This window comes from Homo sapiens, chromosome 20 (genome assembly GCF_000001405.40).
Source record: "Homo sapiens chromosome 20, GRCh38.p14 Primary Assembly".
NCBI classification, from domain to species: domain Eukaryota; kingdom Metazoa; phylum Chordata; class Mammalia; order Primates; family Hominidae; genus Homo; species Homo sapiens.
Window position 1 is genome coordinate 5,677,835 of NC_000020.11, and position 23,752 is coordinate 5,701,586.

Below are 23,752 nucleotides of genomic sequence, written 5' to 3' on the forward strand. Positions count from 1 at the left end.
TGCAACCTCCACCTCCTGGGTTCAAGCGATTCTCCCGCCTCAGCTACCAAGTAGCTGGGATTACAGGCATGCGCCACCACACCCAGCTAATTTTTTTCTGTTTAGTAGAGATGGGGTTTCACCATGTTGGCCAGGATGGTCTCTAACTCCTGACCTCAAGTGATCCACCTGTCTTGGCCTCTCAAAGTGCTAGGATTATAGGCGTGAGCCACCGTGCCTGGCCTAATTCCTGCATTTATTTTAACTACTCTGTAGTATTCCATTGTTTTGCTATCCCGAGAAATGTTGCAATGAACAGGCTTAGGTACACACGGCCTGACCCATAAGCTCAAGAAACTTGCTTGGGTATTTATACAGAAGTAAATTTGGCTGCGTGTGGTGGCTCATGCATGCAATCCCAACACTTTCGAAGGTCAAGGTGGGCAGATCACTTGAGGTCAGGAGTTTGAGACCAGCCTGGCCAACATAGCGAAACCCCGTCTCTCCTGAAAATACAAAAAATTATTTGGGCATGGTGGTACACACCTGTAAGTCCAGCTACTCAGGAGGCTGAGACATGAGAATCACTTGAACCCAGGAGGCAGAGGTTGCAGTGAGCTGAGATCGCACCACTGCACCCCAGCCTAGGCAACAGAGCAAGACTCTGTCTCAAAAAGAACAACAAAAAAACCTGCTTAAAAAAAAATATATTTGTTGAATTGAAATTATGTACATATCAACTTTACTAAGTACTGCAAAATTGTTCTCTATTGTAATTATTCCAATTTTTCACTCCCACAGACTGAGTATAAAAGCCCGTTTCTGATTCTCCACCCTCACCACAGTTAGTGTTATCAGGATTGAAAAAGTTGCCAATCTAATGGCTCTGAAATTGTGTCTCATGGTTATTTTAATTTGCATTTCCCTGCTCTATACTTTTCTATACCTCATAATCTCCAATGGTGACACTGAAATCATGACAAACCTTCTATTATCACAAAGCAGGTATTAATGCTGCTAATGTTCACAGAATCAATGGCCATTACAAAATGTGCCTTCAGTTGATTGCTCACACCTCAGACTCCTTGAGTTTTCCATACATACAGCTCATGAATGCCAGATTACATGCTGAGCGATTTCATGAAGGAATGCTTGCCAATCAGCTCCATGAGAAAGCGATTCAAAATGATGTTGGTTTCCTATGTTTTCTTGTCACTTTTGAAGAATCCTGTTGAAATGCAAGTCACTTATGGAATGAGCTCCAAGATCTTTTTTTTTTCCCACATGAAAAATACAAGATATGAAACAGCAGGTGTTAGCAGGTTTGTGTTTGTTTAAAATTTAAAAACATGTAAAATGCTTATGAGAGTGTGCCTCTGGGGAGGAAACATAATTTCAGACTTACAGTGGGAAATAGATTTAGTTTTCATATAGAACTCTTGAAAATTTTTCGCTTTTGTTTTTTTTTTACCACCTCCAAATAGGCTAACAAACCAAAAAAATATGATCTGATTAAAACACAATTTGTGACTTTTTTAAAATCCCAAATTCTTTTGTTTTAACTTGCCATTAAATGGATGATTAAATACTGTTTTGGTCCACTGCGGCTGTTATAACAGAATATCATAGTCTGGGTGGCTTATAAACAACAGAAATCTATTTCTCACAGTTCTGGTAGCTGTGAATTTCAAGAACAAGGCAATAGCAGATTCAGCCTCTGGTGAGGGCCCACTTCCTGGTTCATAAAGCCTCTTGCTATAATCTTGCATAGCAGAAGGGGACAGGGGAACTCTCTGGGGTCGCTCTCTCTTTTTTTTTTTTTTTTTTTTTTTTGAGACGGAGTTTTTCTCTCGTTGCCCAGGCTAGAGTGCAATGGTGCAATCTTGGCTCACTGCAACCTCCACCTCCCAGGTTCAAGCGATTCTCCTGCCTCAGCCTCCTGAGTAGCTGGGATTACAGGCATGTGCCACCATGCCCGGCTAATTTTTGTATTTTTAGTAGAGACAGGGTTTCTCCATGTTGGTCAGGTTGGTCTCGAACTCCCGACCTCAGGTGATCCACCTGCCTCAGCCTCCCAAAGTGCCAGGATTACAGGCTTGAGCCACCACACCTGGCCTGGGGTCTCTTTTATGAGGACACTAATCCCATTCATGAGGGCTCCACCCTCATGACCTAATCACCTCCCAAAGGCCCCAGTTCCTAGCCCATTGCATTGGGGATTAGGTTTTAATGTATAAATTTTGGGGGGACATGAACATTCAGTCTATAGCAAATACAGAGCTATGTGAAAGGGAAATTTCTAAAATCAGAGATTTCCTTTTACTATAAACAATACACACTCTTCTTTCGGTTTAAAAGTCATCATAAATGGAGGCCAGTTTAACACCCTGGAAAAGAAGGACAAACAGTTGTCAAACTACTGCAAAATTGCTTAGAAAACTTTAGGCCAGTCTCATGTTTTTATTTCAAGGAAGTTGTGAAATTTACTTTTCCATCTATAAAACAGCAGTGTGACTGTGCTCTGTGGAAATCAATTTTTTATTTAGAAAAAATATTCCATTGTGCATTCCTCCCATATGAGCAACACATTTACCTAGGAAGATAGCAGATGATTTTGTAACCCTAGGTATCCACATGCATGATCACTTTGTCCTCTTCCACTCCTGTGATAACTCCCTCCACAGTGCCATTAGTGCTTTGCCCTGGTTCCTGGGAAGGGACACATGGATGAGTGAAAACATTTTCCTGGGAGCAAAGCAACTATCCAGATCAATCAAATTCTTTTCCCCATGGACTCAAATACACATTTCCTACCTAACAAGTTTTTTTTTTTTTTTTTTTTTTTTTTTTGAGACGGAGTCTCACTCTGTCACCCAGGCTGAATGGAGTGAAGTGGCATGATCATGGCTCACTGCAACCTCCACCTCCCAGGTTCAAGTGATTCTCCTGCCTTAGCCTCCCAAGTAGCTGGGATTACAGGCAGCCGCCACCAAACACAGCTAATTTTTGTATTTTTGGTAGAGATGGGGTTTCCACCATGCTGGCCAGGCTTGTCTCAAACTCCTGACCTTAGGTGATCCATCTGCTTCGGCCTCCCAAAGTGCTGGGATTACAGGCATGAGCCACCGTGCCCAGCCTTCTTTTTTTTTTTTTTTTTAAATTTGAGACAGATTGTCCCTCTGTCATCCAGGCTGGAGTGCAGGATCTCGATCTCAGTTCACTCCAACTTCTACCTCCCAGGTTCAAGAGATTCTCATGCCTCAGCATTCCCAGTAGCTGGGATTAAAAGTGTGTGAGACCACGCCCGGCTAATTTTTGTATTTTTAGTAGAGACAGGGTTTCACCATGTTGGCCAGGCTGGTCTCAAACTCTTGACCTCAAGCGATCTGCCCACCTCAGCCTCCCAAAGTACTGAGATTACAGGCGTGAGCCACCACACCCGGCTTCTATCAAGTATTTTAAAAAATATATTTTTTTCATTGATCAATAACTGAAAAAATGTTTCATTTTGAAGGTAAGTTGTATGTTGGCTGGTTGTTTTTTGGGAGCTGATGTTAAAGGCACTATTATAATAATAGATATACTAGATATGATTGTTATTTTATGTACAATTTCAATATATGTATAGACAAAATCATGTAATAATTTATACAGTATTTAAAATTTTGAAAGCAGTTTCATAAACTTTCCCCCCTCCTTCCTGCATAACAAGTTCTTTTGAACCTACCAGAACTATTTATTTATTTATTTTTCTTTTTTTTTTTTGAGACAGGGTCTCACTCTGTCACTCAGGCTGGAGTGCAGTGGTGTGATCACAGCTCACTCCCAGGCTCAAGGGATCCTTCCACCTCAGTCTCTTGAGTAGCTGGGACCACCGGTGCACACCACAACGCCTGGCTAATTTTTTGTATTTTTGGTAGAGACAGGGTTTTGCCATGTTGTCCAGACTGGTCTTGAATTCATGAGCTCAAGGAGATCCACCTGTCTTGGCCTCCCAAAGTGCTAAGATTACAGGCGTGAGCCACCGTGCCTGAATTGTTCAAGGACAATTCAGAAATCCAAATCCATATGGCTAATTCTATTCATTTACTCATTCTTTCTCCCAGATTTTTATTCAACAAGCATATATTGAGTGTACATTGTGAGCTAGAGATGGGTTAGGTGCTGAGATAGAAAGATGCATAGAAATCCCAGTAAGATGCCACAATATAGTAGAAGAGACAGGATGTATGGATAGCTAATTGCAATAAAGCACTACAAGGGCTGTGAGAGTCAGCTATATCCAACCTAGAGCATGTAGGTCAGTTAGCTATTACTGTGTAACTAACAGCCCATAAATTCTTTATAACATACGGTACCATTTTGCTCATGCATCTAGGAGTTGTCTGGGTGTCAGCTGATCTAGGCAGGCTCAGCTGGGATGACTTGACTTGCCTCCATATATCTCTCATCTTCCTCCTGGAACTAAAGGGCTGGCCTACACATGTTCTTTTCATTCTTATAGCAGAGGGGCAGGAAGGAACATACGTGGCTTCTTAAGGCCTAGGTACAAAACTGGCACATTGTCACCTCCCATTTTTCACTGGCTAAAGTAAGTCATGTGGCCAAACCCAAAGCCAAAGAGTCAATAAATATATTCCATCCATTTAGAGGGAAGGATCACACATTTATTCAGAAAATGGCATGAAAAATGGGGAGTGAGTGAAGTATTTCAATTAATAATATGACCTTTCAGAGATGGATACAGAATGAGAAATAATTGGCTGAGGTGCAAGCAAAAGATGCTGAGGAAAGTGGTGAGCATCTGTATTTTTCACTCTCATAAGTGGTTCACTATCCCCTCCCCTCCCCTCCCCCCTCACTCCGTCCCTCCCTCCCTCCCTCCCTCCCTTCCTTCCTTCCCTTTTTTTGAACGGGGTCTCTCTCTGTAGCCCAGGCTGGAGTACAGTGGTGCAATCATAGTTCACTGCAGCCTCCTGGGGCACAAGCAATCCTCCCACCTCAGTCTCCCAAGAAGCTGGGACTACAGGCATGTGCCACCATGCCTGGCTAATTTTTAAAAATTTTTTTGTGGTGTCTGAGCACAGTGGCTCATGCCTGTAGTCCCAACACTTTGGGAGGCCCAGGCAGGTGGATCACTTGAGCCCAGGAGTTCGAGACCAGCTTGGGCAACATGGTGAGATACAAAAAGATTTAAAAATTAGCTGGGCTTGGTGGCACACACCTGTAGTCCTAGCTACTTTGGAAGCTGAAGTGGGTAGATCACTTAAGCCTGGAAGGCAGACGTTGCCATGAGCTGAGATCACACCGTTGCACTACAACCTGAGTGACAGAATGAGACCCTGTCTCAAAAAATAAATATAAATGCATACATAAATAAATAAATTTTTTGTAGACGGAGGAGGTCTCACTCCTGGTTTCCCAGGCTGATCTCAAGCTCCTGGGCTCAAGCAATCCTTCTGTCTTGGCCTCCCAAAGTGCTGGGATTACAGGTGTGAGCCACCACGCCTGGCCATGGTTCACTATTATTTCATTAATTTTACTTTGTTCCCTTCGCATAGGTTGTAAATTCCTTGTGAGCAGAACTATAAATTACATGTGCTCTGTGTTCCTCTCCACACTTTGGCTTATACTGGTTTATTAATGGATTGACTATTAATAATGGACTCAGGGAATAGAAACTACAAAGAACATAGGATACCATTCCTGGTTGGATGCAGTGGCTCACGCCTGTAATCCCAGCACACTGGGAGGCCGAGGTGGGTGGATCACCTGAGGTCGGGAGTTCGAGACCAGCCTGGCCAACATGGTGAAACCCTCGTCTCTACTAAAAATACAAAAATTAGCCAGGTGTGGTGGCGAGTCCCTGTGGTCCCAGCTATTCAGGAGGCTGAGGCACGAGAATCACTTGAACCTGGGAGGTGGAGGTTGCAGTGAGCCAAGATCATCCCACTGCACTCGAGCCTGGGCAACAGAGCAAGACTCCATCTCAGAATAATAATAATAATAAAAGACACGATACCATTCCTTTCAGAAATGTCTGTTACCTTTTGTAATCATAGTGATCAAGACTACTAGTTGACTTCAATTAGCCTACTTGAGATAAAACTTCTGAAATGCCTGGATTTCTACTGTGTTGGAATTTTTTTTTTTTTTGAGACGGAGTCTCGCTCTGTCGCCCAGGCTGGAGTGCAGTGGCGCAATCTCGGCTCACTGCAAGCTCTGCCTCCCGGGTTCACGCCATTCTCCTGCCTCAGCCTCCCGAGTAGCTGGGACTACAGGCGCCCGCCACCACGCCCAGCTAATTTCTTTTAGTATTTTTAGTAGAGATGGGGTTTCACCGTGTTAACCAGGATGGTCTCAATCTCCTGACCTCTTGATCCGCCCACCTCAGCCTCCCGGAATTTTTATCCCTGATATCACTATTTCTCATTTAATGGTGTCTCTTGGATTGAGAAATGATGTGATTTACCTTCTTTATCTCTTTAGAAGAAATAGCTCAACGTCTACGTCTGCCTCATCAAAGTATTGGACTCCACATTAAACTAAAGAAATTATCCAAAGACAGTAGTTATAGGATGAAATTCAATTTTTCTGAAGAGTGATGATAAGTAGTCTCAGGTGTGTAAGCATCCTACCAAACTGCCTGGCTTTGCTGGCAATAAAAATACATTTCTTATTTTTTAATTTTTAAAATAAAGACAAGGTCTCCCTATGTTGCCCAGGCTGGTCTTGAACTCCTAGGCTCAAGTGATCCTCTCACCTCAGCCTTCCAATGTGCTGGGATTGCAGGCGTAAGCCACCATACCGGCCATATATTTTTTACTTCCAGAAGGAAGAGTAGAAATTGTCGGTTTCAGTTTTTAAGTCTCTGTATTGGTCACATCTATGAGGTTGTCTCAGAGCGACCATCTTTTGCATGTATGTATGTATGTATGTATGCACGTATGTATGTATGTATGTATGTATTGGCTAGTGTGGGTTGAGTTATGCTGTGCTTAAAGCCTCAGAATCGTTGCTTGAAACATTATGTTCATCCGGGGTTAGCTAGGGCTCTGTGCCTCGTCACCATCAGCCTCCCTCTAGGTCAAAGGCCAATGGAGCAACCACCATCTTGAGCATTGCGGGCCGTCACTGCAGAAGGGAAAGAGCTCTGGAGGGTCTTACACCAGCAATTAAACCTTCAACTCAGGCTGGGCGCAGTGGCTCACGCCTGTAATCCCAGCACTTTGGGAAGGCTGAGGTGGGCAGATTACTTGAGACCAGGAGTTTGAGACCAGTCTGGGCAACATGGAGAAACCTAATCTCTACTAAAAATACAAACCCAAAAAAAAATTAGCCAGGTAGGGTGCCCATGTTTGTAGTCCCAGCTACTTGGGAGACTGAGGCAGGAGAATTGCTTGAACCTGGGAGGTGGAGGTTGCAGTGAGCCAAGATTGCACCACTGCACTCCAGCTGGGTGACACAGCGAGACTCTGTCTCAAAAATAAATAAATAAATAAACCTTCAACTCAGAAGTGGCTCTTTGCCTTAAATTCATTGGCCAGCATTAGTCACATCATTCACTTAACAATGAGCCTGGAAGGCTCATGAGGGCTCAGGAAGTATAATCCTATCATTTACCTGGAAAGGGGAGAACTGAAAGAAAGAGAAGTACCAGAATATTTGGGTACTACACACATATTTACCTTCTTAGTTTCCTGATCCTTAAGGGAACTGGGAATTCTGAGTGGACAGTGAGGAAGTGCAGGAAAAAGTGGGAAAGGACAGGCTACTTGGAGCCTTCACCTGAGCCAAGCTTGCTGAAAATGGGTGAAATCTGTGGTGCCTCAACTCTGCCTGGTCTGAATGCTCTGCCGAGCCTGGCTCCTCTGACTTACTTGTTCTGTGATCTAAGCCTCAATTTCTTCAACTTTAAAATGAAGATGATAGTAGAACCTACCTCAGAGGAGGTGTGATGATTGCATAAGGTAATACATGTGAGTGACTTGGAACAGCACTGTAAAACTTTCTGCAATGACGGAAATCTTCTACGCTGTCTGATACAGTAGCCACTGGCTACTGAGTGCTTGGAGTGTAGCTAGTGCAACCAAGAAACTGAATTATTAATTCTGTCACCCAGGCTGGAGTGCAGTGACATGACCTTGGCTCACTGCAACCTCCGCCTCCCAGGTTCGAGGGATTCTCCTGCCTCAGCCTCCGGAGTAGCTGGGATTACAGATGCCCACCACCAGGCCCGGCTACTTTTTGTATTTTTAGTAGAGACAGGGTTTTCACCATGTTGTCCAGGCTGGTCTCGAAATTCCTGACCACAGGTGATCCGCCCACCTCGGCCTCCCAAAGTGCTGGGATTACAGGTGTTAGCCACCGTGCCCAGGCTAAATGATTAATTTTATCTAATTTTAATTAATTTAAATTTACATGTACATTGCCACATGTGGCTATAGCTATTGCATGAGACAGTGCAGACTTAAGACTTTGGCCTGGCACCGTGGCTCACACCTGTAATTCCAGCACTTCGGGAGGCAAAGACAGGAGGATCACTTGCGCCTGGGAGTTCAAGACCAGCCTAGGCAACCTAGTGAGATCCTGTCTCCATAAGAAATTGAATTAGTTGAGCACGGTGATGCACATCTGTAGTCCCGGCTACTCTGAAGGCCAAGGTGAGAGGATCACTTGAGCCCAGGAGGTCAAGGCTGCAGTGAGCCGTGATCGCACCACTGCACCCCGGCCTGGGTGGCAGAATGAGAACCTGTCTCTCAACAAAACGAAACAAACATTGCTTAACACATAGGGAGCATTCAACAAGGGTTAGCTAAGTGTCAAATTGCTACAGCCAGAGTGGCAGAAGAAGACTCAACCCAGAAGTCGAAGAAAATGAGAAAACGTCTAGATTTGAAGGAATGACCTCCCACAGAGCATTGCCCCCCTTCACTTTACCTTCAGGTAACGGCTTCGAAGAGAAGATCTGCAACCATCTAAAGGAAACGTTGGGGATGTTTTGTTCCTCTTAGTCACCTTTGCTTGGGTAGGAAGTCACTCCTCACATAGAAAGACTTGGCCATGGGCAGCAGCGCAGGTGGGAGGCATATGGGTGCGCACTCACCTCACCTTCCAGTTCAGCACAGGCTCCCTTTACACCCTAGCTGCCCCGTGTCCTCATGCTGAGCCCACGGCAGATCTTTGTCCTGTCCAGGACTTCATCCTCCTTGCCTCTAGATCTCCAGTGTCAAGTTAGCATCTGCATCAGTTTCCCAGGGCTGCCATAACAAAGTGTCACAATCTGAGTGGCTTCTCTGACAGTTCTGGAGACCAGAAGTCAAGGTGTAGGCAGGACCGTGTGCTCTGAATGTTCTAGGGGGAGAATCTATTCCATGCCTTTTTCTTAGCTTCTGGGCATTCCTGGGTTCTTGCGTGTATTGCTCCAATCTCTATTCCTGTCATCACAACAGGGCACTCTCTTTGAGTGTCTGTGTTTCCTTTTGTGTCTGTGTCTTGTGTTACTTCTCTCTCTCTCTCTTTTTTTTTTTTTTTTTTTTTTGAGACAGGGTCTTACTCTGTCACCCAGGCTGGAGTAGTACAGTGGCGTGAACTTGGCTCACTGCAACCTCTGCCTCCTGGGCTCAAGCGATCCTCCCACCTCAGCCTCCTGAGTAGCTGGGACTACGGGTGCATGCCACCACACCTGGCTAATTTTTGTATTCTTGGTAGAGATGGGGTTTCACCATGTTGCCCAGGCTGGTCTTGAACTCCTGAGCTCAAGTGATCCACCCACCTTGGCCTCCCAAAGTGCTGGAATTACAGGCATGAGCCACTGCACCTGGCCTCTTCCCCTCTTACAAAGACACCAGTCATATTGGATTAGGGCCCATTTAATCCAGTATGACCTCATCTTAACCTGATTGCATCTGCAGGGACCCTATTTCCAAATAAGATCACATTCACAGGTCCCAGGGGTTGGGACCTTAACATATCTGCTTGAGGGACGCAGTTTAGCCCACAACAGTTACCATTCCGTCGTGGGCTTATTTTCTGCTGGGTGGCAGCTACTTTATCTGTCACAGTTTTGAGGAGGACACTTGTCATTCTGTGTGCCTGGTATCCTTCTCCTGAGAATAACTGAGCTGCTGCTAACATGAAGATGGTTTAGGGCAAAAATTTTAAAAAGGCACTCCCTTTGGGTAGACAAATTGCAAAATTCGTGCCCACTCCATGTGATGAATTACAGACAGTTTGCACCTTCCCCTTCCTGCTCATGCAAGGAAGTGTTGCGCCCTTCCTCTTTCCCTTTGTGTCTGCTTGGAATTGGGTCTGATTGGAATTGGGTTTCGTCACTTGCAACCAAAGAATCCTGACTGACATAGATGGTACTTGGCGCCATGAATTAATGTGTTGCCTCTCATAACTAATTTCCTGGAGGTAATCCATTCACTTGAATGAAGATTGGAGCACTGTGACCAGCAGTGCAACTTTATGGCTTTGGCTGTTAGGGATCTCCATGCCCCCTAGGTCCAGTTTAGGCTGCTCCCTGTTAGACCTGTAGCAGGTGCTCTTCTTGCCCACCATGTCCCCTCACTCTGACCTCTCCATCGGGCGGGGCCCTACTCATGGCCCCTTGGAAGTAGGGGCCCTTATTTCCTCACAAGAGGAAGCCAGCTGCTCAAGGGCTTCCTCTTGCTGCCAGAGCCCACTTTACCCCCAACGTGGCAGGCCAGAGTGTCCAGGACTTGGCCCCACACCGGAAGCAGCCCTTGCTGCCTGACTGATGGGGGGTGGTATGTTCAACACTCCAGCCGCCTTTCCCGGCAGAGGCAGCGTGCAGAGGTGTGTTCCACACTGGCTCCCAGAGGTGCCCTGAGGACAAATGCAGCTCAGCTCCCTTTCTCCCCAGTCCCTTAATTAGCTACTCTCTGTCTCAGTCTCCGCCCTCCCCACCGCTCTGCCCCCGCTCCCTTTTCCCGTCCTCCCCACGGGTGTTTCCTGGAGTCACCTCCCACATAAGCTACTTGCACAAGAGTCCTTGTCTCAGAGTCAGCTTCTAGGGGTTTCCACCTTAACATAAGACCTATGCCCAGGGTCATCACATGAAGACCTGAGTCAGCCACTTACTGGCCAGATGGCCACGGGTTACCCACTCTGGGCCACGGGTTACCCACTCTGGGTCACAGGTTACCCACTCTGGCCCTCAGTTTCTGTCTGGAAAGAGGTAGCCAGTCACACTAAAGGGGGACTTCTTTTTGGGTAGGCTATTAGAGAGGCTGATTCGATCATTGATTTTTTTTTTTTAAACAAAGCTTATGTTTTTCCTCCGAGTATAAAAGTAAAACATGACGGTTATGTAATTTTGAAAAACAGAAAAATAAATTTAGGCCTGGCACGGTGGCTTACTCCTGTAATCTCAGCACTTTGGGAGGCCGAGGTGGGCAGATCACTTGAGGCCAGGAGTTCAAGACCAGCCTGGCCAACATAGAGAAACCTTGTCTCTATTAAAAATACAAAAAATTAGCCTAGCGTCGTGGGGCGCACCTGTAATCCCAGCTACTCGAGGGGCTGAGGCATGAGAATCACTTGAACCTGGGAGGCAGAGGTTGCCGTGAGCTGAGATTGCACCACTGCACTCCAACCTGGGAGACAGAGAAAATCTGTCTCAACAAAAAAAAAAGAAAAATCAATTTAAAAAGTTAAAATTACCCAAATTCCACCACTCAAGGATATTTTCTTTGAAAGTAGAGGGCACAGGGTGGCCTTGAACCCTAACGTACCCTGCTTTGGGTCTGGCTATGCTGCAGGACTACGGCCCTAAGATTTCTGCAAATGTCCAGTTGCTGTGTGTAGACGCAGCTTGAAATAAACTGCTTGTACAGCATGAGGAGGAAATGTGACTGTCGGACCCTTATGTAACAGAGTAGGAAACCCTGAGTGTAAACAGGGTTTCCCTTGTCAAGGAACGGAAATTGGTTTCCAACCGGTGCTTTCAAGGGCAGACCAGGAGCTAGGAAAAGAAATAGGAAGTCATAGAATGGAACAGAGGAAATTAGGAAATGAAAATCTATAGCCTCAGCATGAAGTTTATGAGGTAATTGGACTGTTTTTCTCAAACTGTGCTGGATAAATCTGGGAAGAAAGATTGATTTCTGATCCTAAGAAGACCTGCAGTATAGACCAGCAGGTCAGGCTCAAGTGAGGCCTGATTATATATTTAATAATAACAGAAAAACTTTTGCAAAGGCTGTATCCATTCGGCGAGCTAGAGACCAGGTAGAAATACCATATGAAGGCAACCCCAGGAAGTAATAGGAATAATAGGGAAAATGGGCCAGGTACAGTGACTCACCTGTACCTGTAATTCCAGTACTTTGGGAGGTTGAGGTGGCCTCGCTTGAGCCCAGAAGTTCAAGACCAGCCTGGGCAATGTGGTGAAACCCTATCTCTACAAAAAAAAAAAAAAAGTATCCAGGCATGTGGTACGGGCCTATAGTCCCAGCTACTTGGGAGGCTGAGTTGGGAGGATCACTTGAGCCCAGGATGTAGAGACTGCACTGAGCCGTGATCGTGCCACTGCACTCCAACTTCAGCCTGGGTGACAGAGCAAGACCCTGTCTCAAAAAAACCCAAAAACTTAAAATAGGGAGATTATACTGTATTATCTGGGTGGTCCCAATTTAATCGCATGATCCCCTAAAACAGAATTTTCTCCAGCTGGAGTCAGACAGATGTGGCAGAAAGAAAAGTCAGGGAGGTTTTTAAGTGTGAGAAAGACTTGACCTGTGAAGGGGCCACATGGAAAGCATGAGAAATAATGCAGGAAGCTTCTTGGAGCAAAGACTGGCCCTCAGCTCACAACCAGCAAGGAAGGTGGGACGCCAGCCCTACGACCACAAGGAACTAAATTTGACCAACACCTGAAGGGGATCCATCCCCAGAGCTTGCAGTAGGGAACCCAGCCCTGTCACCACCTTGAGTGAGGCTTTCTGGGGCCCTGAGCAGATGACTCAGTTGAGCCAGAGTTTTTGAGAGTGGGGCTCTGACCTACAGAACTGTGAGACAATAAATGAAATTGCTTTAAGCCACTCCATTTGTAGTAATGCTATAGCAGCAATAGGAAACCTACACCCTGACATGTCAACTAACTACTGCAAGCCAATGTGAATACGACCTTCATGGAGTGTGTCCCAGGCCATGGGCAGAAGAGGGAATAGCCAGCTCTGCTAGGGAAAGTGAAGAAGGCTTCTCAGAGAAGGCATGCTTTGGGTCCTCTAGAGGTGGAGCCTGAGATGAGATTCCAGTGCAAGCAATGGTTTTGGGTGATGTTCCCAGGAATCAACAGTAAGGGAGTGACAGAGTGAGACAGAAAAAAGGAAAGAAGTCAGTAAAAGTGTGTGCGGTGGCTCATGCCCGTAATCCCAGCACTTTGGGAGGCTGAGGTGGGCAGATCATGAGGTCAGGAGTTTGAGACCAGCCTGGCCAACACGGCAAAACCTCATCTCTACTAAAAATACAAAAATTAGCCGGGCATGGTGGCGGGCGCCTGTAATCCCAGCTACTCCGGAGGCTGAGTCGGGAGAATGGCCTGAACCCGGAAAGGCAGAGGTTGCAGTGAGCCAAGATTGTGCCATTGCACTCCAGACTGGGCGACAAGAGCAAGACCCCCATCTCAAAAAAAAAAAAAAAAAAAGTGAATCAGGCTGGGCATGGTGGCTCACACCTGTCATCCCAGAACCAGAACTTTGGGAGGCCAAGGGGGACTGATAACTTGAGCTCAGGAATTAGAGACCAGCCTGGGCAACATGACAAAACCCCGTCTGTACAAAAAACACAAAAATTAGCTGGGAGCGGTGGTGCATGCCTGTAGTCCCAGCTACTTGGGAGGCTGAAGTAGGAGGATTGCTTGAGCCTGGGAAGTCAAGACTGTGGTGAGCCGGGATCACGCCACTGCACTCCAGCCTGGGTGACAGGGCCAGACCTTGTTTACAAAAAAAAAAAAAAAAAAACACCAAACTTATTAAGCAAGTTACCATTGTAGGCAGCTGGAGCTTTATCCTTCTCGGGGATGCTGGGAAACTGTAGATTTTGTCTGGGAGGGATGGAGGGACGGGGATTTATGCATCTGCTTCCATCAATATTGGTTGGGAGCCTCTTTTGGGGCCATTAATTCCCTAGTACTCAGCCCTTCGATGTATGTATGCAGAGCAGGCACCAACAGTTTCAGAAAACACTCAGGCAAAAGGTTGCAGGTGCTAGCACTTGGCAGTCTGATTGGTGTGCACTGAACCAGTGAGGCCAAGGGGCCAAGGGAAGGGGGAGCACCGGCAGCATTTGAAGGGAGTGAGGGTTTACCAGGCAGAGACCAGAGCAGGTGTTGCAGGCAGACGGAAATGGTTATGCACACAGAGGCCCAAAAACAAGCAAAAGAGTTCTGTGAAGTGGCTAGAGGATTTGAATCTGGAGTTGGACAAACAGGTTTGAATCCTGACTCTGACTCCTCACTGCTTATTCTCCTTAGGCAAGTCACTCCACTGCTCTGAGCATCAGCTATATGATGGGAATTATGGTAGGACCTGCCTCATTGTGCTGTCACAAGGATTAAATTATTTTATTTTATTTTATTTTATTTTATTTTATTTTATTTTATTTTATTTTATTTTTTGAGATAGAGTCTCGCTCTGTGGCCCAGGCTGGAGCGCAGTGGTGTGATCTCCACTCACTGCAACCTCTGCCTCCTGGGTTCAAGCGATTTTCCTGCCTTAGCCTCCCAAGTAACTGTGATTACAGGCGCGCGCCACCACCCTGCCTGGCTAAGTTTTGTATTTTTAGTAGAGATGGAGTTTCACCATGTTGGCCAGGCTACACTCGAACTCTTGACCTCAGGTGATCCACCCACCTTGGCCTCCCAAAGTGCTGGGATTACATGCATGAGCCACCATGCCCAGCCACAGGATTAAATTAGGTTATGCTTTAAAAGAGTATGGCACCTGGTCAGCCCTCAATAATGATAAGCAATACTTCTGTTGTTGTCCCACCAGTGGGTGAATGTTGGCTAGTTGGCTATGCCCACACAAAGAGTGCATGGAGACAAGGGGTCCAGTGGAGTAGTAGGCCAGAAAGGTGGGTAGCAGCTTCGAGGTACCCTGTGAGGTATTTTCAATTGTAGGCTCACCCAGACTGAACCAAGCACAGCTCACACTTGTAATCTCAGTGCTTTGGGAGGCCGAGGGAAGAACACTTGAGAGGCCAGGGGTTCAAGACCAGCCTGGGCAACAAGGAAAGACCCCATTTCTACAAAATAATAATAATTTAAAAAAAAATAGGCACAGTAGTGAGTGTCTGTAGTCCTAGCTACTCAAGAGGCTGAGGCAGGAGGATTGCTTGAGCCCAGGAGTTCGAGGCTGTAGGGAGCTATGATTGTACCACTGTACTCCAGCCTGGGTGACAGAGCAAGACTCCATTAAAAAAAAAGTGAGAGGCCGGGCACGGTGACTCCTGCCTGTAATCCAGCTTGACCAACATGGAGAAACCCTGTCTCTAGTAAAAATACAAAATTAGCCAGGCATAGTGACACATGCCTGTAATCCCAGCTACTCAGGAGGCTGAGGCAGGAGAATCGCTTGAACCTGGGAGACGGAGGTTGCAGTGAGCCAAGATCGCACCATTGCACTCCAGCCTTTTTTTGCACACAAAAAAGGTGGGCGGGAGGGGGAGGCTTATTTTTAGGGAAAGTGAAATAACAATTCAGGACTTTTGAGCCTGAATCTGTGGATCCCAACGAGTCTGAATAAAATTTAGGAGGTCCACAAACTTGGCTAGGAAAAGAATCATTCCTATTTTCACTAACTTCCAACTGAAATTGACCTTCCCCTTCCATGATGAATGTGGGCAACAAACCACAATGATATTAGCAGGAATTGTGATTTTGTCACAAGTAAAAAAAAAAACAAACAAAAAAGCCCCCAGGTATTTCCAGATTGCAGACATCTTAAAGTATCCTTTATACCCTTTACTACTTCAAAATAATGTTTTTTAGACCTGTTTTTAGATTTAGATTTTTGTTTGTTTGTTTGTTTGTTTGTTTTGAGACAGAGTCTCACTCTATTACCCAGGCTGGAGTACAGTGGTGTAATCTCGGCTCACTGCAAACTCCGCCTCCTGGGCTCAAGTGATTTTACCACCTCAGCCACCCAAGTAGCTGGGACTACAGATCTGTGCCACCACTCCTGGCTGATTTTTGTATTTTTTATTTATTTATTTTTATTTTTTTGTAGAAACGGGGTTTCACCATGTTCACCATCCTGGTCTCGAACTCCTGACCTCAGGTGATCCACCCGTCTCAGCCTCCCAAAGTGCTGGGATTACAGGCATGAGCCACTGCGCCCAGCCCGCACCAGGCTTTTTAAAACCTCCCACAGACAGACATATTCTATGTTTTTACCCCTTCTTGCTGTGATCTTGTTGTGACCAATGTAATTACAAGGGTGGAAGGGCCATAGAGGCCATATCCCAGTTAAAGAGGATGTCTCTTTCCCATTAGGATTGGAAAGGGCCAGGCCCTGCTTAGGTTGTGCATCTGTTCTTGGATGAATCACGACGGATGCTGATGGATGACTGGGTCATGTTCCCAGCTTTGGGGGCGAGGATATGGCCCCGTCAGCCTCATCAAATCATGTGGAGTCTGTTAGTTTCTATTGCTGCTGTAACAATTTACCACAAATTTAGGGGCTTGAAGTCGCACACATTGATTACCTCCCAGTTCTAGAGGTCACAAGTCTAAAATGGGAATCACTGGGCTAAAATCAAGGTCATGGCTTGACTGCCTTCCTTTCTGGAGGCTCTAAGAGAGAATCTGTGTCCTTGCCTTTTCCACTTTCTAGGGACCACCTACATCTCCTGGCTTGTGCCCTATTCCTCCATCCTCAACACCAGCAACCTCCTTCTCATGCTCTTATTTTTCTGGTTCTCATTTTTCTGTCTCCCTCTTCTACTTATAAGGACTTTTGTGTTTATATTGGGTGCACTGGATAATCCAGGATAATCTCCCCATTCCAAGTCAGCTGATTAGAATAGCAATCTTAATTCCTTCTGCAACCTTAATTCCCCTTTTCCATGTAATCTAACACATTTACAAGTTCCAGGGGCTGTGACATGAATATGTTTGAGAGGCTATTTTTCCGCATACTATATAGAATCAACGCAATCACATTGAAGTGGAGAAAAAAGTGGTTCCCCAGAGGAAGGGATGTTGCACAGGCCAATAAGCATCTGTCTTCTACCACAAAGATTTAAGGGGGCCTGTGCAACGCTCTTGCTGCACTTCATTTATACTTTTATTAAGCATTTGTAGCAAGCGTTTGTGACGTCTGGTGTCACATCTCTGCAACTCACCTGATTTCAGTGCACCTTTGATAGTTCTGTGCACTTTGCCAGTATTATTTCTCAAGCATATATGGAAACACCTCTCTGCCTTCTCTAAGACAGTAGAAGCCAAATTCAGGTGCAACCTGAAAGTATCAGGGAATTAACAACCTGGGAGCTACCCTCACCCCACATGGAATGGGAGCAGTGCTTAGATGCTGCAGCCTCCATCTGCTGGCGGAGTTCTCCTCCTCCTCCTCCTCCTCCTCCTCCTCCTCCTTCTTCTTTTTTCTCCTTCGTCTCCCTCTCCTTCTTCTTCATGGAGTCTCCCTCTGTCACCCAGGCTGCAGTGCAGTGGCGTGATCTCTGCTCACTGCAACCTCCATCTCCCAAGTCCTATCAATTCTCCTGCCTCAGCCTCCCAAATAGCTGGGACTACAGGGGTATGCCACCGTACCAGTTAATTTTTGTATTTTTAGTAGAGATGGGATTTCACCATGTTGGCCAGGCTGGTCTTGAACTCCTGACCTCAAGTGATCCGCCTGCCTCAGCCTCCCAGAGTGCTGGGATTACAGGTGTGAGCCACCGCGCCTGGCCTAAGTGGAGCACTTCTTGATGTGCTTTCTTTATGGTTCCTTCGAAGGTCCCAGCAGGATTCACACACCTCATTCAGACAATTCGTGTTGGCTTTTCCCCCTTTTTGGTTTCATTCTCCCTATTCCCTACTCCTGCTTCCTGGCATCACCTCCCAAATAAACTACCTGGATCCACGCCCTTCTCTCAGATTTTGCTCTTGGGGGAAACCCTATTAGATAGCACGTATTCCTGATGTTTGGCAGAGAGTTACTGATGTGGCTGTCTGCGTGGTGGAGCCCTGCCAGTACAAACCAGTGCAGTTTGTTTAGAGGCATCTGCCCTGATGGGCTAGTGTCCATTCCATTGGCTGATGCTCACGCCACACAAGTCATCTGGCACTACTGAGGTCCATCAGCACAATAACATGAATCACTGTTCCTGACGCACACTTCTTGGCTGTTTATGAGGTTCTTGTTCAAGACATATGGATAAGGAGTATGAATACCATAAGATGCAATCCTTAAGGTCACGTGCTAAAAGGTCTGTGTACCTAAAATGGGGAGGAAAGGTTGTCTGAGGTCATCTTAAAAAAAAAAAAGTTCAGGCTGAGAGCAGGGTTGTTTATTTGAGTTCTGGCAATCACTCTGGGAATTTATTTACATGCCAAGGGAAACATGAGGACAGTGGACTCTAGAAACCTTGTGCCCCAAGCTGCAAAAGACAGCAGGCTTGGGCCCAGAGAGACACCAAGACCTTGCCAAAGACTCAACGAATACCTGATGGCCGAGCACAGTGGCTCACGCCTGTAATCCCAGCTCTTTGGGAGGCCGAGGCGAGTAGATCATCTGAGGTTGGAAGTTTGAGACCAGCCTAACCAACATGGTGAAACCCTGTCTTTAATAAAAATACAAAAATTAGCTGGGTGTGTTGGTGCACGCCTGTAATTCCAGCTACTCAGGAGGCTGAGGCCTGAGAATCACCTGAACCCAGGAGGCAGAGGTTGCAGTGAGCTGAGATTGCACCACTGCACTCCAGCCTGGGTGACAGAATGAGACTTGGCCTCAAAAAATAAACAACAAAAAACCCCACAAATGCCTGATGACTTTTGATGGGTGTCAAGTGTTCTTTGTCAGCTGATGGGGACATCATTTAATCTATGTACTAGATGGAGATCAGGTAGAAGGCATGAAGTCTCATGACTTTTATCACATCTCTAGGTCATACAGCACTCCCCTGCCCCACTGCCTGACCCCCTGCAGCATGGGGCCATTCTCTTCACCTGCCTTCTCAGAATCTCAGTTGGTCGCCTTGGAGCACAGAGGCTGTCCATCCTCGGGGGGAGCACCACCAGCAGATGGCATAGATTTTCCACCACCCACCAAAACTGCAGCGTGACTTTGCAACGGGACAGGAAAAAAGAATGAATAATCCCAAGGCCCTGCTTTTTTTTCTCAAAAGTACTTTCAAAGGAGATTTTTGGCCGGGCATGGTGGCTCATGCCTTTTTAATCTCAGCACTTTGGGAGGCCAAGGCAGGTGGATCACCTGAGGTCAGGAGTTCAAGAACAGCCTAGCCAACATGGTGAAACCCTGTCTCTACTAAAAATACAAAAAATTAGCTGGGCATGGTGTCACATGCCTGTACTCCCAGCTACTAGGGAGGCTGAGGCAAGAGAATTGCTTGAACCCAGGAGACGCAGGTTGCAGTGAGCCGAGATCATGCCATTGCACTCCAGCCTGGGCGACAAGAGCAAAACTCCATCTCAAAAAAAAAAAAAAAAAGGTGGGCGGGGGGGTTTGTTTTTTGTTTTTTTCATTTTAAATTTACCTTTTATATTTTTGTACATATTGTTAGGGGTCAGCCACACTTAATGATCTTGGAAGAGCAAAGCAGTCTTCAGAGCGTTCTCTGTCCTACTTCCGATTTTACTTGTGGCATGACCTTGTTCCTTAAAATCTCAAAGGAAAAAACCTTATAAAAAGAAAAGCAGCCTGGGCGTGGTGGCTCACGCCTGTAATCCCAGCACTTTGGGAGGCCAAGGTGGGCGGATCACGAGGTCCGGAGATCGAGACCATCCTGGCTAACACAGAGAAACCCCGTCTCTACTAAAAATACAAAAATTAGCTGGATGTAGTGGCATGTGCCTGTAATCCCAGCTACTTGGGAGGCTGAGGCAGGAGAATTGCTTGAACAAGGGAGGCAGAGGTTGCAGTGAGCTGAGATTGTGCCACTGCACTCCAGCCTGGTGACAGAGCGGGACTCCATCTCAAAAAAAAAAAAAAAAAAAAAAGAAAAGAAAAGCAAAAGGACAACTCTTATTCTGAGCATCTATTAAGTTTTTTTGTGTATGTATTAAGCTGTACTATGAGTAGTTGGTTTGTACGAAATGGTTAAATAGGCCAAATACAAAAGATTTCTCTCTCTCTCTCTCTCTTTTTTTAGAGACACGGTCTCGCTGGACTGGTGCAGTGGTGCAATCAGTGTTCATTGTAACCTTGACCTTCCTGGCTCAAGCAGTTTTCCCTCCTTAGCCTCCCGAGTACCTGGGACCACAGGTGTACACCATTATGCACAACTAATTTTTAAAATTTTTGTAGAGACAGGGGGTCTCACTGTTTTGTTCAGGCTGATCTTGAACACCTAAGCTCAAGTGATTCTCCTGTCTTGGCCTCCCAAAGTGCTGGGATTACAGGTGTGAGCTGCTGTGTCTGGCTGGGTTTCTTTCTTTTTTTTTTTTTTTTCCTCTTTTTTTGTCTATAAAGTTGCTGTTTGTTTATAAATGTTTTCACTTGTTTGATGTATGTGTGAAACAATGTTCAACAATTAACCAGAATTTTATTTTGCTGATTTACTCTTTAACAACAAAAGATGTAATAATAAATAATAATTACAGCACACTTACTATGTACCAGGCATCATTCTAGGCCCTTTATAGATACTGTTTCATCTGTCCTCATAACAATTTCATGATGTAGATAGATGAAAAACAGAGGCAAGAAAGGTCAAGTACCCTGCCGAAAGTCACCCAGTCAAGAGGCATCTCTATAACCAGTTGAGAAATCATGACCTTATATAGAAGCATCTCAAAACTAGCCCAATGCTATCAGAGACCCCTGGGTTCTAAGAGCCAAAATGACAGCCTCTTCTCTTTTCATTGTGATTTTCTAAAATCACAGATGTTTAATCTTTCTGTAGCTCTGTTTTTGAAACAGTTTTTGACTCTGGGTTTAAGGAGAAAGGTGGCTTATGCTTGTAATCCCAGCATTTGGAAGGTTGAGGTGGGTGGATCACTTGAGCCCAGGAGTTTGAGATCAGCCTGGGCAACATGGTGAGACCCCGTCTCTACCAAAAATACAAAAAAATTAACCAGGCATGGTGGCATGCACCTATAGTTCCAGCTACTCGGGAGGCTGAGGTAGGAGGCTCACCTGAGCCTTGGAAGGTTAAGGCTGCAGTGAACCACGATCATGCCATTATACTCCAGCCTGGGCGATAGAGTGAGAACTTGTCTAAAAAAAAAAGGGAGAGAGTGCTGTTTTCTCTACTCTTTTCTTTCTTTCTCTCTTTCTTTTTCTCTTTCTTTCTTTCTTTCATCTTTCTTTTTTTTTGTTTTGTTTTCTTTGAGATGGAGTCTTGCTCTGTCATCCAGGCTGGAGTGCAGTGGCACAATTTCAGCCCACTGCAACCACTGCCTCCCAGGTTCAAGTGATTCTCCTGCCTCAGACTCCCAAGTAGTTGGGATTACAGGTGCCTGCCACCACGCCTGGCTAATTTTTTGTATTTTTAATGGAGACAGAGTTCCACCATGTTGGCCAGACTGGTCTCAAACACCTGACCTTAAGTGATCCACCTCCCCCAACCTCCCAAAATGCTGGGATTATGGGCGTGACCCACCAGGCCTGGCCTTCTCTACCCTTTTCAATGCCAGGTAAATTCCTTGCACTATAGGATTTGCTCACTTGTTCTCATTCTATTGTTTTCTTCTCCTCTTTTTGACTTAACTGGCCTGTCTTCATTTCTTTGTTATGCCTGTATCTCTTATTCTTCGAGTATTTTATTTATTTATGAAATTATTATTTTTGAGACACAGTCTCATTTCTGTCACCCAGGCTGCAGTGCAGTGGCACAATCACGGCTCACTGCAGCCTCAACCTCCCAGGCTCAAGCAATCCTCCCATCTCAGTCTCCTGAGTAGCTGGGTATACAGGTGCTCACAACCATGCCTGGCTAATTTTGTATTTTTTGTAGAGACCAGGTCTCACTATGCTGCTCAGGCTGGTCTCGAACTCCTGGACTCAAATGATCCTCCTGCCTCGGCCTCTCAAAGTGCTGGGATTACAGGCGTGAGCCACTGTGCTCCGCCTGTAAGAGTATTTTAGGCTGGGCACGGTGGCTCACATCTGTAATCTCAGTACTTCGGGAGGCCAAGGCAGGCGGATCACGATGTCAGGTGTTCGAGACCAGCCTGGCCAACATGGTGAAACCCTGTATCTACTAAAAATACAAAAATTAGCCAGGTGTGGTGGTGTGTGCCTGTAATCCCAGCTACTCAGGAGGCTGAGGCAGGAGAATTGCTTGAACCCGGTAGGCGGAGGTTGCAGTGAGCCAAGATCATGCCACTGCACTCCAGCCTGGGTGACAAAGCAAGACTCCATCTTGAGAAAAAAAAAAAGAGTATTTTAGAGAGTATTTTACCTGTACTGAATGTGATTTTACTGTGAAGGCAGGAATGCCATGAAGTGGACACAAATGCAATGCCGTTTGGTTGTTAGAGTGCAGCTATTTTGTGCAGGTTGGGAGCTGCACAAAGGTGTATCATTATGATTCTTCAGCATCTCTGTAGGAGCACAAGAACACTTGTCAAATTGCATGATAATGACTAAGCATGTGAGGGACGAAGTCACCAAAAACAGGGCTGGCTATGTGAGAGTCCTAAAGAAGGCTCAGGTAGGCTGTTGCCAGTTTACAGCTTTACCTTTATTTATATTCCTTTTTTTTTTTTTTGGCAGAATCTCACTCTGTTGCCCAGGCTGGAGTGCAGTGGCACAATCTCGGCTCACTGCAATCTCTGCCTCCCAGGTTCAAGCGATTCTCGTGCCTCAGCCTCCCAGCACCTGGGACTACAAGTGTGCATCACCACGCCCGGCTAATTTTTTGTATTTTAGTAGAGATGGGGTTTCACCATGTTGGCCAGGCTGGTCTCGATGCACCCGGCTACCTTTATTTGTATTCAACAAGTGATCACTAGCAGGCTCTGTGCTGAACATGCAGTTATACCTGGAATCATTCAACAGTGAAAACCTATGAACTTTATTTACTCATGTATTAATGTATACAGTCACCCTGTCATGCCGTTCAATAAGCACAAATATCTTCCGTGCATTCAGAATTTTCTGGAATTTGGAAAAACAAAGATAAATAAGGCTGAGGACTTGCCCTGAGGAATTTACAGCCTAAAAAGGAAGACATAAATGAACAGGTAGCTGATGCAACAGTTCAGAAACATCAAGAGCCTGAATCTTCTACAAGACCCAAGGAGGATAAAAATCAAACTTTTCGATTATAATATTTAAGATAACTTTAAGTTCTCCCCCCCCTCCCCCTCCCCCTCCCTCTCCCTCCGGTCTCCCTCTCCCTCTCTTTCCACGGTCTCCCTCTGATGCCCAGCCGAGGCTGGACTGTACTGCTGCCATCTCGGCTCACTGCAACCTCCCTGCCTGATTCTCCCGCCTCAGCCTGCCGAGTGCCTGCGATTGCAGGCGCGCGCCGCTACGCCTGACTGGTTTTCGTATTTTTTTGGTGGGGACGGGGTTTCGCTGTGTTGGCCGGGCTGGTCTCCAGCTCCTAACCG

At 46.0% G+C, this 23,752-nt stretch overlaps 1 annotated feature.

The window, feature by feature from the left end:
- Positions 10,270-10,770: an enhancer, noted in NCBI's record as "H3K4me1 hESC enhancer chr20:5668750-5669250 (GRCh37/hg19 assembly coordinates)". NCBI's record gives its function as "activates a minimal SCP1, AML or CMV promoter by ChIP-STARR-seq in primed H9 embryonic stem cells {active_cell/tissue: H9 hESC(primed)}" and the evidence as "EXISTENCE:reporter gene assay evidence [ECO:0000049][PMID:30033119]".